Source organism: Homo sapiens, chromosome 12, assembly GCF_000001405.40.
Source record: "Homo sapiens chromosome 12, GRCh38.p14 Primary Assembly".
Lineage (NCBI taxonomy): Eukaryota > Metazoa > Chordata > Mammalia > Primates > Hominidae > Homo > Homo sapiens.
This window is the reverse complement of record NC_000012.12, coordinates 42,290,993-42,307,349: the sequence shown is the minus strand read 5'-3', so window position 1 is coordinate 42,307,349 and position 16,357 is coordinate 42,290,993. Positions and strand designations below refer to the sequence as shown.

The 16,357-nt window shown below is 42.7% G+C and overlaps 1 long non-coding RNA gene across 1 annotated transcript, besides 1 other annotated feature; it reads left to right on the top strand.

Annotated features, from left to right (window-relative positions):
- Window positions 1–797: 797 nt before the first annotated feature.
- Window positions 798–4,195, top strand: LOC124902921 (uncharacterized). Its single transcript, XR_007063280.1, has 2 exons — window positions 798–876; window positions 3,953–4,195. It is a non-coding gene; the product is annotated as an uncharacterized LOC124902921 (long non-coding RNA).
- Window positions 7,803–7,892: an enhancer, noted in NCBI's record as "active region_6210". NCBI's record gives its function as "activates an Ori minimal core promoter by ATAC-STARR-seq in GM12878 lymphoblastoid cells {active_cell/tissue: GM12878}" and the evidence as "EXISTENCE:reporter gene assay evidence [ECO:0000049][PMID:35858748]".

Sequence of the window (16,357 nt, the reverse complement as noted above, 5' to 3'; positions counted from 1 at the left end):
GCCTGACCAACATAGTGAAACCCTGTCTCTACTAAAAATACAAAATTAGCCGGGTGTGGTGGCCCATGCCTGTAATCCCAGCTACTTGGAAGGCTGAGGCAGGAGAATTGTTTGAACCCAGGAGGCGGAGGCTGCAGTGAGCTGAGATCATGCCACTGCACTCCAGCCTGGGCAACAGAGACTCTGTCTCAAAAAAAAAAAAAAAAAAAAAAGAAAGAAAGAAAAGAAAAGAAAAAGAAAAAAAGGAAAAGAAAGAAAAGAAATATATATGGAAGAAAGTGAAAACCTCCTTGGAAAGCAGTGTGATCAGCACTATTACTTAAACTAACAATGCGAACAGTGGCAGTCAGACTGAGCCCTCAGTCCAGAGAATGGGAGTAAGCCACTATCAATTGTTTTAAAACACTCCATCTATAAGATCCAAATTTTAAGAATCCTTATATACTGCTATAGATAAAGACAACCAGTTAACATTTTTAGTTAAGATATGGCACCTAGAAATAAGCAGACCAGAAACATAAAAGCTTTTATAGAAAGCAGATTCCTGAAGTGCATGTTGCACTTTTCATCAGCACATCTTTGCAAGATGCATGGCTTCATGTGAAACACATAATCTTGTTTTTTCATAGAGATGGTATAGTTTGGTTAGAGCCTCATAAGTATATTTAAGATAAGTTAAATACTAAAAATGGCTTTTAACAAATTATCTGAAAGACAAATTATATCACATATTTAGCACTATGTTTCAGGCACTGTTCTAAACACATTATAAATATGAAATAATTGAATCCCTTTTAGGTATTGTTTTCATCATTATACAGATGACAGAACTAAGGCACAGAGAGGCAAAGTAATTCACCCAAAGTCACACAGCCAGTAAGTAGCACGATAACGTTTTAAATGCAGGGTACAATGTATGTTATTTTGGAGATGGATACACAAAAAAGCCCTATGCATGACTTACCAAAAATAAATAAATAAATAAAATTTAAAAATAAAAGAAAAAGGCCAGGTGCGGAGGCTCATGCCTGCAATCCCAGCACTTTGGGAGGCCGAGGCGGGCGGATCACCTGAGGTCGGGAGTTCGTGACTAGCCTGACCAACGTGGAGAAACCCCGTCTCTATTAAAAGTAGAAACTCACTGGGTGTGGTGGCGCATGCCTGTAATCCCAGCTACTCGGGAGGCTGAGGCAGGAGAATCACTTGAACCCAGGAGGCGGAGGTTGCGGAGCCGAGATCGGGCCATTGCACTCCAGCCTGGGCAAAAAGAGTGAAACTCCGTCTCAAAAAAAGAAAAGAAGAAGAAAAGCCCTGACTTCACCACTACTCAATATATACATGTAACACTTGTACCCCATAAATTTATACAAAGAAAATTTTTAAAAATAAAAGAAATAAAGCCAAGCAAACTTGCTCTAGAGTCGATATACTATCTCTATGCTATGATGCTTCTCTAAAAAAGTACTCAAATTATATGACTGGCCAGGCGCAGTGGCTCACGCCTGTAATCCCAGCACTCTGAGAGGCCAATGGGGATGGATCACCTCAGGTCAGGAGTTTGAGATCAGCCTGCCCAACATGGCGAAACCCTGTCTCTACTAAAAATACAAAAATTAGCCAGGCATGGTGGCACGCGCCTGTAGTCCCAGCACTCAGGAGGCTGAGGCAGGAAAATCCCTTGAATCCAGGAGGTGGAGGTTGCAGTGAGCAGAGATCGTGCCACTGCACTCCAACCTGGGTGACAGAGCGAGACTCCATCTCAAAAAAAAAAAAAAAAAAATATATATATATATATATATATATATATATAGTACTGCCTTATCAACTAGGAGATGGTGGTTTTAAATTTCATTTTACGTGCATAAGAATAACAATTTGTTTTATTATATCTTAATGATTTTTCTGTAGGTGGAAACATTTTTGGAATAACCAACAAATTTTAAAGTTAAAAGACTAAATCTATCATGCCCTAGTGCTTTCTTTAAAAAAATTAAAAATAATTTCCACTTAGAAGTTTAATGAGGTCTCAGACTTATCTGTCCACTACTGAATCCCTGGTCTCCCAAACCAGCTATACTCCCAACTTTTCCCATTTCTGTTTGGTTTCGTCTTGAGACAGAGTCTCACTCTGTTGCTCAGGCTGGAATGCAGTGGCACCATCATAGCTCACTGCAGTCTTGACCTCCCAGGTTCAAGTGATCCTCCCACCTCAACCTCCCAGGAAGCTGGGACTACACCTGCGTGCCACCACTCCCACCTATTTTTTTTTTTTTTTTTGTAGAGTTGGGGTCTCCCTACGTTGCCTAGACTGGTCTTGAACTCCTGGGCTCAAGCAATCCTCCCACCTCAGCCTCCCAAAGTGCTGAGATTACAATTTTGAACCACCATGCCTGGCTTCCATTTCTGTTAATGTTAACTCCATTAGCCGAGGCCAAAGAATTTGGAGTTATCCTCGTTTCCTCTTTTTTTTTTGAGACAGAGTCTCGCTGTGTTGTTCAAGCTGGAGTGCAGTAGCATGATCTCGGCTCACTGAAACCTCCACCTCCCAGGTTCAAGAGATTCTCCTGCCTCAGCCTCCCAAGTAGCTGGGATTACAGATGCCCGCCACCATGCCCAACTAATTTTTTTTGTATTTCTTTTAGGTAGAGATGGGGTTTCACTATGTTGGCCACGCTGATCTTGAACTCCTGACCTTGTGATCCGCCTGCCTTGGGCTCCCAAAGTGCTGGGATTACAGGCATGAGCCACCATGCCAGGCCATCTCCTTTCTTTTTCTTATACCCCCACAACTAAGTCACAAGCTGTTGGCTCTGTCTTTAAAATATGTTCAGCTATATGGAGTTAATCTACTGCAATCACCTTGGCCCATGACACCATCTCACTAGAATTACTGCAATTGCTTTTTTTTTTTTTTTTTTTTTTTTTTTTAGACAGAGTCTCACTCTATCGCCAGGCTGGAGTGCAGTGGTGTGATCACAGCTCACTGCAACCTCCAATTCCCTGGTTCAAGGGATTCTCCTCCCTCAGCCTCCCAAGTAGCTGGGATTATAGGCACGCGCCACCATGCCCAGCTAATTTTTGTATTTTTATAGAGATGGGGTTTCACCACATTGGCCAGGATGGTCTCAATCTCCTGACCTCGTAATCTGCCTGCCTCAACCTCCCAAACTCCTGGGATTATAGGCATGAGCCACTGTACCCCACCTGCAGTTGCCTCCTAAGTACTCTGCATAGAGCTGCCAGAGTGATCCTTTTAAAAGTAACACAGGCCGGGTGCGGTGGCTCATGCCTGTAATCCCAGCACTTTGGGAGGCCGAGGTGGGTGGATTACCTAAGGTCAGGAGTTCAAGACCAGCCTGGCCAATGTGGTGAAACCCCATCTCTACTAAAAAAATACAAAAATGAACCAGGCATGGTGGCAGGTGCCTGTAATCCCAGCTACTGGGGAGGCTGAGGCAGAAGAATCACTTGAACCTGGGAGGCGGAGGTTACAGTGAGCCGAGATCACACCATTTCACTCTTGCCTGGAAGACAAGAGCGAAACACCATCTCAAAAAAAGTAAGACAGATATAACCCTCCACTCAAAAGTCTCCCCTGGCTTTTCATCTTCCCCAGAGTTAAAGCTGAAGTTTTAACAATGACTTAGATATATAAAGTTCCAAAAGAAGGGCTCTGTCTCTCTCATCTCATCACCTACAATTCACCTCCTAGGTTTGTCTACTATAGCCACTGTGGCCTCCTTACTGTCTCTCACATTCACCAGACAGGCAGGCACCCACCTGAGAACTTTTGCAATAGCTGCACAGTCAGTTTAAGCATTCTTCCTCCTGGTTTGTTTTCCTCCCTCCCTCCCTCCTTCATTCCCTCCTTCTTTCCTCCTTCCTTCCTCCTTCCTTCCTCCCTTCCCCACCATGCCCCCCATCCTCTACCCATATAAACCCCAAACCCCAGAATTACATGAGGAGACGACAAGACAACCAGATGAACAGCAGAACGACATGGCAGAGAAAGAGAAGAGGAATCTCTGAATGCCAAGAGGAGTTCTGCTGGGGTGGTCAGACAGGAGTTCAGCAGCTGGATGGCCAAACTCCAGGGGAAGATCATCTTCCCACTCCATCCCCACTTCCGGCTCCCCATCCATCCCACTGAGAGCCACCTCCACTGCTCAATAAAACCCTTGCATTCATCGCTCAAGTTCGTGTGTGACCTGATTCTTCTGGGACGCTGGACAAGAGCCTGGCATATAGAGAGCTGTCACACTGGCCCTGTGCCCTTGCAGAAAGGCAGAGGGTCCACTGAGCTGGTTAACACTGAAGTTGTCCACGGACGGCAAGGCCAAAAGGGCACACTGTAACACACACCCACTTGGGCTCCTGCACCTGTCTGTCTGTGTGCTCCCCTTCCTATAAGGGGTTTAGCCATGGCAGTGACTGAACAGATGAGCCATACCCTGTCGCATGTCCTGTGAGGGGGGTCAAGGAATTCTCCAGTTTCATCTGGGGGCTTGTCCAGGATACAGTTGAAGAACGGTGAGTTAAAATGTGACACTAGGCTGGGAGTAGTGGCTCATGCCTGTAATCCCAGCACTTTGGGAGGCCAAGGTGAGGGGATCATGAGGTCAGGAGATCGAGATCATCCTGGCTAACATGGTGAAATCTCATCTCTACTAAAAATACAAAAAAAATTAGCCGGGCGAGGTGACAGGCACCAGTAGTCCTAGCTACTTGGGAGGCTGAGGCAGAAGAATGGCGTGAACCCAGGAGGCGGAGCTTGCAGTGAGCCGAGATCGCGCCACTGCACTCCAGCCTGGGCGACAGAGCGAGACTCTGTCTCAAACAAACAAACAAAAGTTAAACTGTCAGATCTGCCTCTTTCCCAAGACCCTGCCACTGTGCCCGGCCAGCCTCTTAAGTATACCAAGTTATCCATGATAGACCAAGGATTTGATGAAAATCCCACTGCCTTCTTGGAAAGGCTAGGAGAGGCCTTTGTAAAGCACACCTCTCTATCTCCTGACTCTGTCGAGGGATAACTTATCCTAAAGGGTAAATTTATTACTCAGGCAGCCCCTGATATCAGGAGGAAGTTGCAGAAACAGGCCCTGGGACCAGATAGTACTTTGGAGAACCTCCTGAAAGTAGCCACCTCGGTTTTTTATGATAGAGATAGGAAGGCCCAGGAGAGAGACAGGAAATACAGGAAAGAGACAGAGGCTTTAATGGCCACCAGACAAGCCCACTAAGTCCAGAATTCCCAGGGTACACCTGTTAACTGCTACAAGTGTGGCAAGCCATGGCATTTCAAGAAGAATTGCCCAGGCAGCATGAGGAAGCCACCTCGACCCTGACAGTATTTTCAAGAAGTTGTCGGAAGCATAGCTGTTTCCTATTAATACCGCCTTGATTTCTAGAAACTCAAAAAAGTTCTCAATTAATATTAGACTATTAGGAAAGACCATAGAATGGTTGTATGGTTACTTGAGGTATAGTTTCTACTGAATAAGTATCACTTTTGCACCATCATAAAATCAAAAAATTGTTAAGTTGAACCATTGGAAATTGGGGACCATCTGTACTTAATTAAGTAAGCTAGAGTAGCCTTGTCAGCTTGGTTCACAACCTCATCTTTGTCTCATTCCCCAAGGAAAAAAATGGAAAAATACTATGCTAAATGCTGTTCATAGTGCCAAATAATTCAAATTACAAAGGCAGAAGTGTGGTCAGGATATATAGAAGTCGCATGATCACTGTTCTGTATTCAGTTGTAGTTATGGGGAAAAGTCTGTATACTAAGTTCCCACATGGAGAAAACTTATACAATTAGAAGCAGAGTATTATTAACTTTACAGGCAGAATCTGGGGTTTGAAATTCAAGCCAACTGCAAAGAAACTGATCATATCCAGAGGGGAAACATCTCTGGATCCAAAATAGAGGGATGAGGTCACACAGTAATATAAACCTGGACTAACACACCTGTCTACTGCTCTCTTAGTAGTTTAACAGGTTGAACAGATTAATCCTAGTGAGTGTAAATTACTCCTTAGAACAGAACATGTTTCAGGAGATGTCATCTGATGTATTTGTTTGTTTGAGACAGGGTCTGTCTCTGTCACCCTGGCTGGAGTGCAGTGGCATGATCACGGCTTACTGCAGCCTTGAACACCTGGACTCAGGTGATCTTCTAACCTCATCCTCCTGAGTAGCTGAGATTACAGATGCATGCTGCTGTGTCCAGCTTTTTAAAAAAATTTTATAAAGACAGGGTCTCGCTTCATTGCCCAGGCTGGTCTCAAACTCCTGGCCTCAAGCAATACTCCCGCCTTGGTTTCCCAAAATGTTGGGTTTACAGGCATGAGCCACTGCACCCAGCCTTATATGTGTATTTTATTTTATTTGTATTTATTTATGTATTTATTACTTATTTTCGAGATGGAGTCTCTCTCTGTCACCCAGGCTGGAGTGCAGTGGCATGATCTCTGCTCACTGCAGCCTCCACCTCCAGGGTTCAAGCGATTCTCGTGCCCCAGCCTCCCGAGTGGCTAGGATTACAGGCATGAGCCACCATGCTGGGCTAATTTTTGTATTTTTAGTAGAGATAGGGTCTTGCCATGTTGGCCAGGTTGGTCTTGAACTCCTGACCTCAGGTGATTCGCCCACCTCGGCCTCCCAAAGTGCTGGGATTACAAGCTTGAGCCACCACACCCAGCCTATTTATTTATTTTTTTAGACAGCATTTCACTCTTATTGCCCAGACTGGAGGGCAATGGTGCGATCTCGGCTCACTGCAACCTCTGCCTCCTGGATTCAAGTGATTCTCATGCCTCAGCCTTCAGAGAGGAGCTGGGATTATAGGCACCTGCCACCACTCCTGGCTAATTTTTTGTATTTTTAGTTTCACCATGTTGGCCAGGCTGGTCTTGAACTCCTGACCTCAGGTGATCCGCCCGCCTTGGCCTCCCAAAGTGCTGGGATTACAGGCATGAGCCACTATGCCCAGCTATATATTTTAAAAAGAAGTAATGAGGATCCTTTAAAAATGTTTTATCTCTTATTCTCTTTATCTCTAATAATACTGAAAATAAGAATTCAGAGGTTTCTTCTAAATTAGGGCTTTCTATGTGTGAAAACTACTTACCAGACGAGTACAAGATGACTCAGAAATACACACACACATGCACACACACACACAGACAGCACAGAGAGAGAGAGAGACATATACACAGAATTTCCATATGACTCAGGGACTCTTGCAGACAGACCCCAGCAGAAAAGCAACTGGCAAAGAAATGTGGTTTGCAAAATCCCAGAACCAACATCACAAAACAGGTCTCAAGGTGAAAGACAATACCTTAATAACCAGCATACTTTAATCCCTATACTTTTTGCTGTGCACTGAATGTGTGTGTCCCCCGCCCCAAAATTCATGTGTTGAAGCCCCCACCCAATGTGATGGTATTTGGAGGTGGGGCCTTAGGGAGGTGATTAGGGTCAGACGAGGTTATGAGGATAAAGCACCCATGATAAGGTTTGTACCCTTGGAAGATGAAGGAACCTGCGCTTGCTCTCTCTCTCTCCACCATGTGCGGATATAGCAAGAAGGCAGCTGTCTGTGAACAAGTGGGAGGGCCCTGACCATGTTGGCACCCTCATCTCAGACTTCCAGCCACCAAAACTGTAAGAAATAAATGTTTGTTGTTTAAGCCACCCAGTCTATGGTTTTGTTTTGTTTTTCTTTGTGCAGTGGCGCGATCTTAGACTACAGCCTGGGCACCAAAATGAAACTCGGTCTCAAAAAAAAAAAATTTATTCACCTACTTTCTGAAAGGTTTCTAGTTTCTCATAATAGTCTTCTCATTTTCATTTCTCATTATGTTCTTGTTGAGTTTTGGTGTCAAGGTCATTATATTGGTCTTACATCCTCTAATACAGATTTTTTTTAATAGGCATTATTTCTTTCTTAAATGTTGCTTGAAAGTATATAGGAAAGCCATCTTGACTTGAAGCTTTTTTTGTGTGGCAATTAATTATGGGCTCAATTTGTTTAACAGCTATAAGATTATTTTGATTATCTAGTCTGTCTGTCTTTCTTTCCTTCCTTCCTTTCTTCCTTTCTTCCTTCCTTCCTTCTTTTTCTTTTTTTTTTTTTTTTTTTTTTGACAGAGTCTTGCTACAGTGCAGTGGCACGAACATGGCTCACGGCAGATTTGACCTCCCGAATTCAAGTGATCCTCCCCCACCACAGCCACCCTAGTAGCTGGGACTATAGGCACGTGCCACAACACCCAGCTAATATTTGTCTTTTTTGTAGAGATGGGATTTCACCATGTTGCCCAAGCTGGTCTTGAATTCCTGGGCTTAAGTAATCAGCCTGCCTCAGCCTCCCAAAGTGTTGGGATTACAGGTGTGACCCACCATACCTGGCCTGATTATCTAGTTTTCTTGTATCATATTAGATAAGTTGTATTTTTCTAGGAATTTGATCATTTTTTCTAACATTCCAAAAATTGTTAGTATAAAATTGTTCATAATTTCCTCTTAGTGACTTTTTTAAAAGCTTAGAACAAAAGGTTATTTGTGTCTTCTCTTCATTTTTATTTATCAGTTTCACCAGAGGTTTATCCATTTAATTTTAGCTGTGTCGATCTTTTCAACTCTATGGGATTTTTTATTTTGCTAATTTCTACTCTTATCTGCATTTTTTCCTACTCTGACCTTTTGGGCTTTATTTTGTCGTCCTTTTCCCTAACTTCCTGAAATGAATGAGTAGATTCGTTTCCTGTTTCCTAATATACACATTTAGCTTATAAATTAACTTCTAAGTACTCTTTAGCTGCATCACACAACCTTTTAATAAGCTGTATTTTTATTATAATTCAGTTCAAAATATTATCTAATTTCCACTGTGATTTCTTATTTGATCTATGAGTTATTTGGTAATGTATTTCTAAATTTCCAAACATATGAGTATTTTCTATTATCTTGTATAATAAATTGCTAGATTGGGTTAATTTTGGTCAGAAAATGTACTATATATCATTTCAGTCCTTTGAAATGTGTTTAGGCTCTACTGCACAACAAATAGTCAACTTTTATAAATGATCTTTTCATCTTTGAAAAAAATGTGAGGGCAGGGTGTGGTGGCTCACGCCTGTAATCCCAGAACTTTGGGAGATGGAGGCAGGTGGATCATTTGAGGTCAGGAGTTCAAGACCAGCCTGGCCAATATGGTGAAACCCCATCTCTACTAAAAATACAAAAATTAGCCGGGCATGGTGGCTGGCACCTGTAATCCCAGCTACTCGGGAGGCTGAGGCAGGAGAATCACTTGAACCTGGGAGACAGAGGCTGCAGTGAGCCCAGATCCTGCCACTGCACTCCAGCCTGGGCAACAGAGTGAGACTCCATCTCAAAAACAAGAAAAAGAAAAAGAAAAAAAAAAATGTGAATTCTGCAAGCAATTAAAGCAAGTAATAAAAGCAAGTTTGTTAATTATATTTTTTGAATCTAGGAACTGATTTTCTTTTCTGTTTATCAATTACTGACAGAGGAGTATTAAGATCTTCCATTCTGATTAAGGATGTATCTATTTATTCTTATGGTTCTGTCCATATTTGCTTTATATTTTGTTAAGGCCATGTTACTAGTCACCATAGAAATTCAGAATTTTTTTATACCTTCCTGTAAATTGAACCTTTTTATCATTATAAAGTGCTCCTCTTTATAAGGGTAGTTACTTTTGCTTAACAGCTAGAACAGCTTCTTTCGGTCAGCCATTTTGTACTATATATTTTTCCATATTTTTACTTTCAATCCTTCTGTATTATGATGTTTCAGCTATGCCTCTTGTATGCAAAATACATTTGGGTATTTTTTTTAATTGGTTCTGAAAAATTCTGTATTTAATTAGAACATTTTAGTCTATGTATCAGTCTAGGTCCTATCAAGAGTCAGAGACCACGATGGTAATTTGAAGAGGAAATATAATATAAAGAAGTATTAAATAAAATGAGCAACAGAGCCGACCCTGTCCCAAAATAATACTACTATTAAATGTTATTTAATGGTACTAAATAAAATTGGGGTAAAAGGGATTGATTAGTAAGAAGCAAAGATAATTCTCATAAATATAGCAGGTTAAAGGAATAGCCACAGCCAGTTTCCATGGCTCACTCCTGTAATCCCAGCACTTTGGGAGGCTGAGGCAGGTGGATCACTTGAGTTCAGGAGTTCAAGACCAGCCTAGCCAACACGCGCCATTACAGTCCAGCCTGGGCAACAGAGTGAGACTGACTCAAAAAAAAAAAAAAAAAAAAGGAACAGCCACTACTCTAGACCCCGGGGTAGAACATCCAAGGAAAAGTACAACTCACACCCCTGCCACTCTAGGGCAAAGAGATCATGGCCATGGCTCATCAGATGGCAAAAAAAAAGTCTCTCTGGTGCCAGATGGGTGGAACTTTCTAGAAATCCACCTTCTGGAACTTACTGGAATTCTTCACACCAGGGTGCCAGGGAAAGGGGGAAGGTGATGTATGCCACAGAAGCTGGATGCTAAGAAGGGGAGCATGCTGCAGGAACCTCAGGATGGAGTGCAGGGGCCCCCGGAAGTTAAAACCTTTTCTTTTTGCAATGTCTCTCTAGCGCCCTCTACTGATAGTTTCTGTGCCATCTGGCAAGAGAAAACTTAAAAGGCCCAGAACCATTTTCACAGAGCAGAAAACAGGGTGAATTTGGAGCTGAGAGCCCATAGATAAATAACACACAGTCCATTTATACTTTAACATTATTACTAATATATTTGATCTTAAATCTATGTGTTTTGTATTTGTCCTACTTGTTTTATGTTCCTTTTAGTCCCCTTTCTTGCTTTTTTTTTTTTTTTTTTTTGAGACAGAGTCTGGCTCTGTCGCCCAGGCTGGAGTGCAGTGGTGCGATCTCGGCTCATTGTAACCTCCACCTCCCAGGTTCAAGCGATTCTTCTGCCTCAGCCTGCCGAGTAGCTGGGACTACAGGCGACCGCCACCATGCCTGGCTAATTTTTTTATTTTTACTAGAGATGGGTTTCACCATGGTTAGCCAGGATGGTCTCCATCTCCTGACCTCACGATCCGCCCACATTGGCCTCCCAAAGTGCTGGGATTACAGGCATGAGCCACCGCACCTGGCCGCCTTTTTAAAAAAACTTATTTTTGTAGGCTGGACTGGGTGGCTCACGCCTGTAAACCCAGCACTTTTGGAAGTGGAGGCAGGTGGATTGCCTGAGCTCAAGAGTTCAAGACCAGCCTGGGCAACGTGACAAAACCTTGTCTTTACCAAAAATACAAAAATTAGCCGGTTGTGGTGGTGCACAACTGTAGTTACAGCAACTCAGGAGGCTGAGGTGGGAAGATCGCCTAAGTCTGGGAGGTGGAGGTTGCAGTGAGCCAAGATCAGCCACAGCACTCCAGCCTAGGCAACAGAGCTAGACCCTGTCTCAAAAATAGTAACAATAAATAAATATAAAATAAAAATTATTTTTGTAATTTCCTTTCCTCTATTTCCTTTCCTCTATTAGCCTGGAAAATATGCATTATTTTGCTTCTGTTTTAGATATTATCCTCTAGATTATAGAATAATTATTTTCCTTAAAAAATTTTAACAGCCTTATTGATTTTGTTTGTTTGTTTTGAGACAGGGTCTTCCTCTGTCACCCAGGTAGGAATGCAGTGGCACAATCTTGGTCCACTGCAGCCTGGAACTCCCAGGCTCAAGCCGTCCTCCCAAGTGGCTGGGACTACAGGCCTGCACCAGCACGCCTGGCTAATTATTTAAAATTTTCTGCAGAGAGGAGGTCTCCCTATGTTGCCCAGGCTTCTCTCGAACTCCTGGACTCAAGGGATCCTTCCGCCTCAGGCTCCCAAAGTGCTGGGATTACGGGTGCCGCGCCGGGTATTAACAGCTTTATTGAGGTGAAATATACATATCATAAAATTCACTCATTTTGGCGGGCACGGTGGAGTGTAAAATGGTTTGATCACTTTACAAAATAGTCTGACAATTTCTTAAAATATCAAACATAGATTTATCTATTTTATCTGTTGTGATATCAAACCTAGATTTATCTTTTACCCAGCAGATTTACTGCTACATATTTACCCCCCAAAATAAAAATGTATGTCCACCCAGAGTCTTGTACATAAATGGTCATAGAAACGTTATTCATAGTGGCTGAAAAGTGGAAGCAATGCCAATATGATGTTTTCACAACTCTGTAAAATCACTAAGAAATTATTCAATTGTACAGTTAAGATGATTGAATTTTTCTTTTTTTTTTTTTTTTTTTTTCTTTTTTTGAGCTGGAGTCTCGCTCTGTTGCCAGACTGGAGTGCAATGGCACGATCTGGGCTCACTGCAACGTCCTGCTCACTGCAATGTCCGACTCCCTGGTGCAAGTGATTTTCCTGCCTTAGCCTCCCAAGTAGCTGGGATTACAGGCACGCACCACCACGCCCAGCTAATTTTTGTATTATTAGTGGAGATGGGGTTTCACCATGTTGGCCAGGATGTTCTCGATCTCCTGACCTCGTAATCCGCCAGCCTCAGCCTCCCAAAGTGCTGAGATTACAGGCGTCATCCACCACGCCCAGCCTATTTGTCTTCTTATCACTGAGGTGTAAGAGTTCTTCATATATTCTGGTTATGAGTCCCTTCTTAGGTATATGATTTACAAATATTTCTCCAGATTTGTGGCTTGTCTTTTCACTTCCTTACTGTGTCCTTTGAAGGACAAAAGTTTTTAACTTTGAAGTTCAGTTTATTAGTATTTTTATCTTATTATTTGTGCTTTTGATGTTTTGCCTTAACCCAAGACCATGAAAATTTACTTCTATGTTTTCTTGCAGAATTTTCATAGGTCTAGCTCTTACATTTATGTTTATGATCCATTTTGAGTTTATTTATTTATTTATTTATTTATTTTGAGACAGGGTCTCACTCTGTTACCCAGGCTGGAGTGCAGTGGAGCAATGTCGGCTCACTGCTACCTCTGCCTCCCAGGCTCAAGCCATTCTCCAACCTCAGTCTGCCAACTAGCTGGGACTACAGGTGGGCACCACCAGGCCCAGCTAATTTTTTTGTGTTTTTAGTAGAGACGGGGTTTCACCATGTTGGCCAGGCTGGTCACGAACTCCTGATCTCAGGAGATCCTCCCACCTCGGCCTTTCAGAGGGCTGGGATTACAGGCGTAAGCCACTGTGCCCAACCATTTTGAATTTATTTTTGTGTATGGTATGAGGCAAGGGTCTAAATTCATTGTCTTGCATGTGGGTATCCAATTGTTCCAGCAATATTTGTTGATTAAAAACTATTCTATTCTGCTGGGCACGGTGGCTCACTCCTGTAATCCCAGCAATTTGTGAGGCAGAGGCGGGCAGATCATCTGAGGCCTGGAGTTCGAGACCAGCTTGGCAAACATGGTGAAACCCCCGACTGTACTACAAATACAAAAATTACCCCGGTGTGGTGGCAGGTGCCTCTAATCCCAGCTATTCGGGAGGCTGAAGCAGGAGAATCGTTTGAACCCGGGAGGCAGAAGTTGCAGTGAGCTGAGATCACACCACTGCACCACTCCAGCCTGGGAAACAGAGCTAGACTCTGTCTCAAACAAACAAAAACAAAAAACTATCCTTTCTCTTATTGAATCACCTCAGCACCTTTGTTGAAAATCAATTTACAGTAAGTATAACGGCTTATATCTGGACTTGAAAAATGACATACCATATTCTAATGGTAATTAGTACTTTACCTCGTTTTATTTTGTTTATGTTTTTTGGGGTTTTTTTGAGATGGAGTCTCGCTCTGTTGCCCAGGCTAGAGTGCAGTGGTGCGATCTCGGCTCACTGCAACCTCTGTCCCCTGGGTTCAGGCGATTCTCCTGCCTCAGCCTGCTGAGTAGCTGGGATTACAGGTGCCCACCACCATGGCTGGCTAATTTTTTTTTTTTTTTTTTTTTTGAGAGGGAGTTTCACTCTTGTTGCCCAGGCTGGAGTGCAATGATGCGATCTCGCCTCACCGCAACCTTTGCCTCCCAGGTTCAAGCGATTCTCCTGCCTCAGGCTCCAGAGTGGCTGGGATTACAGGCATGCAGCCGCCATGCCCGGCTAATTTTGTATTTTTAGTAGAGACGGGGTTTCTCCATATTGGTCAGGCTGGTCTCAAACTCCTGACCTCAGGTGATCTGCCCACCTCGGCCTTCCAAACCTCCCTTGTTTATACGCTAGTGTTATCATGCATTTCCATTCCTGCATATTGTTTCTTGTAAGTCCAATAAAGGAGGAAAGAAATTTTTATCATTGTTTTATGTAGTCCATGTTTATTTAGATCTACCCATATATCTACCACTTTTGTGCTCTTCATTCCTTCTTGCACCTGGGAACTTTGTATCTATGATCATTTTGTTTTTTGCCTACAGAATACCCTTTAGTATTTCCTTTAATTTGGGTCTGCCGGTGATAGACTATGTTAATTTTTGTTTGTGTAAAACATTCTTGAAGAATATTTTCTCTCATCATAAAATGTTGTTGACAATTATTACTATTATTATTATTATTATTAGCTCACTGAAAAAATTATTTCATTCTTTTCTGGTTTCCATCATCTTTTTAATTTTTTTTTTTTTTTTTTTGAGATAGGGTCCGGCTCTGTTGCCCAGGCTAGAATTCAGTGACATGATCTCGGCTCACTGCAACCTCTGCCTCCCAGGTTCAAGCAATTCTCCAGCCTCAGCCTCCCCAGTAGCTGGGACTACAGGCGCCCGCCACCATACCTGGCTAATGTTTTGTATTTTTAGTAGAGACGGCAATTTGACCATGTTGGCCAGGCTGGTCTCGAACTCCTGACCTCAAGTGATCTGCCTGCCAATGTGCTGAGATTACAGGCGTGAGCTACTGCACCCAGCCAAAAATTTTTTTTGTTTTTTTAATCTTTGGGATGTTATATTCTGGGAGCTCAGCCTTCAACTTTGTCAAAAATTCTGTGAAACTCCTGTACTGAGTGCCTAATTTTGATTATAATGATTTTCATTTCTAGAGGTTTTTTTTTTTTTCATATTTGCAGTTGGTTAAGGATAGCTGCAAACTCTTTGTCACTCTTCCAGTTGAGAGATGGAGTCCAACTGCTCCACGAATCTGGGCTGACTTTAGTGATTTGCTTGACCAATAGAATGCATCGGAAATGATGTTCTGTGATTTCCAAGGCTAGATCATAAAAGTTTTATGACTTCTACCTGAGCTTTTTGAAATGCTTGTGGAAATTCCAGCACTCAAGATGCTCTCTTTGGGACCCCAGCTATCTTGCTATAAAAGGCAAGAAACATGTAGGCACTTGTGGAAAGTTCTAGCTGAGCTCCCAGCAGAGAGCCAACACTACTACATGAAGCCATGCAAATGAATTATTTTGTATGTCTAATCCATTTACATCTTCAGATAACTGTCGCTCCAGCAGACAATTCCAAGGTTTGTAGTCAGACATGAGAGCAGATTAGGATCAGTACTGGGTTGTACTCAGTGCTTTTCTTTCTACTCTCTGTTTTATGCCATCATTTTCCCTTCTTGTTTTTTTTCTTCTTATTAATCCCCGGAGTTTTGGAAACCCCATTTTTCTATCACTTTTGCTGCTTTTTTTTTTTTTTTTTTTTGAGACAGAGTCTTGCTTTGTCACCTAGGCTGGAGTGTAGTGGCACAATCATAGCTTACTGCAGCCTCAACCTCCCAGGCTCAAGTGATTCTCCCACCTCAGCCTCCCAGGTAGCTGGGACTACACGTGCATGCCACCACACCCAGCTAATGTTTTCATTTTTTCTAGACATGGGGTCTTGCTATGTTGCTCAGCTGGTCTCAATCTCCTGGGCTAAGGCAATCCTCCCGCCTTGGTCTCTCGAAGTGCTGGGATTACAGGCATAAACCACTGCACCCAGCAAGCTGCCACTCTTTTATTCTTCTCCCTCTGGACATGAAAGAATCCATTTTAGACTCTAAAGAGAGGATAAGAAATGGGGCTGAATGCATATTAATACAGTTGGAATTAATGAGAGAAAACAATGTATGTAGAATGGACAAAAAACCATGTTTTAAGACCAAAATTTATGAAGTTATCCTGCAGAGTTAATAATAAATCGCCAGGAACAGTGACTTATGCCCGTAATTCCAGCATTTTGGGAGGCCAAGACAGGAGAATTTCTTGAGGACAAGTGTTCAAGATCAGCCTGGGCAATATAGTGAGACCCCATCTCTACAAAAAATAAAAACATTAGCCAGATGTGGGGATGAGTGCCTGTAGTTCCAGCTACTCTGGAGGCTAAGGCAGGAAGATCTCCTAAGC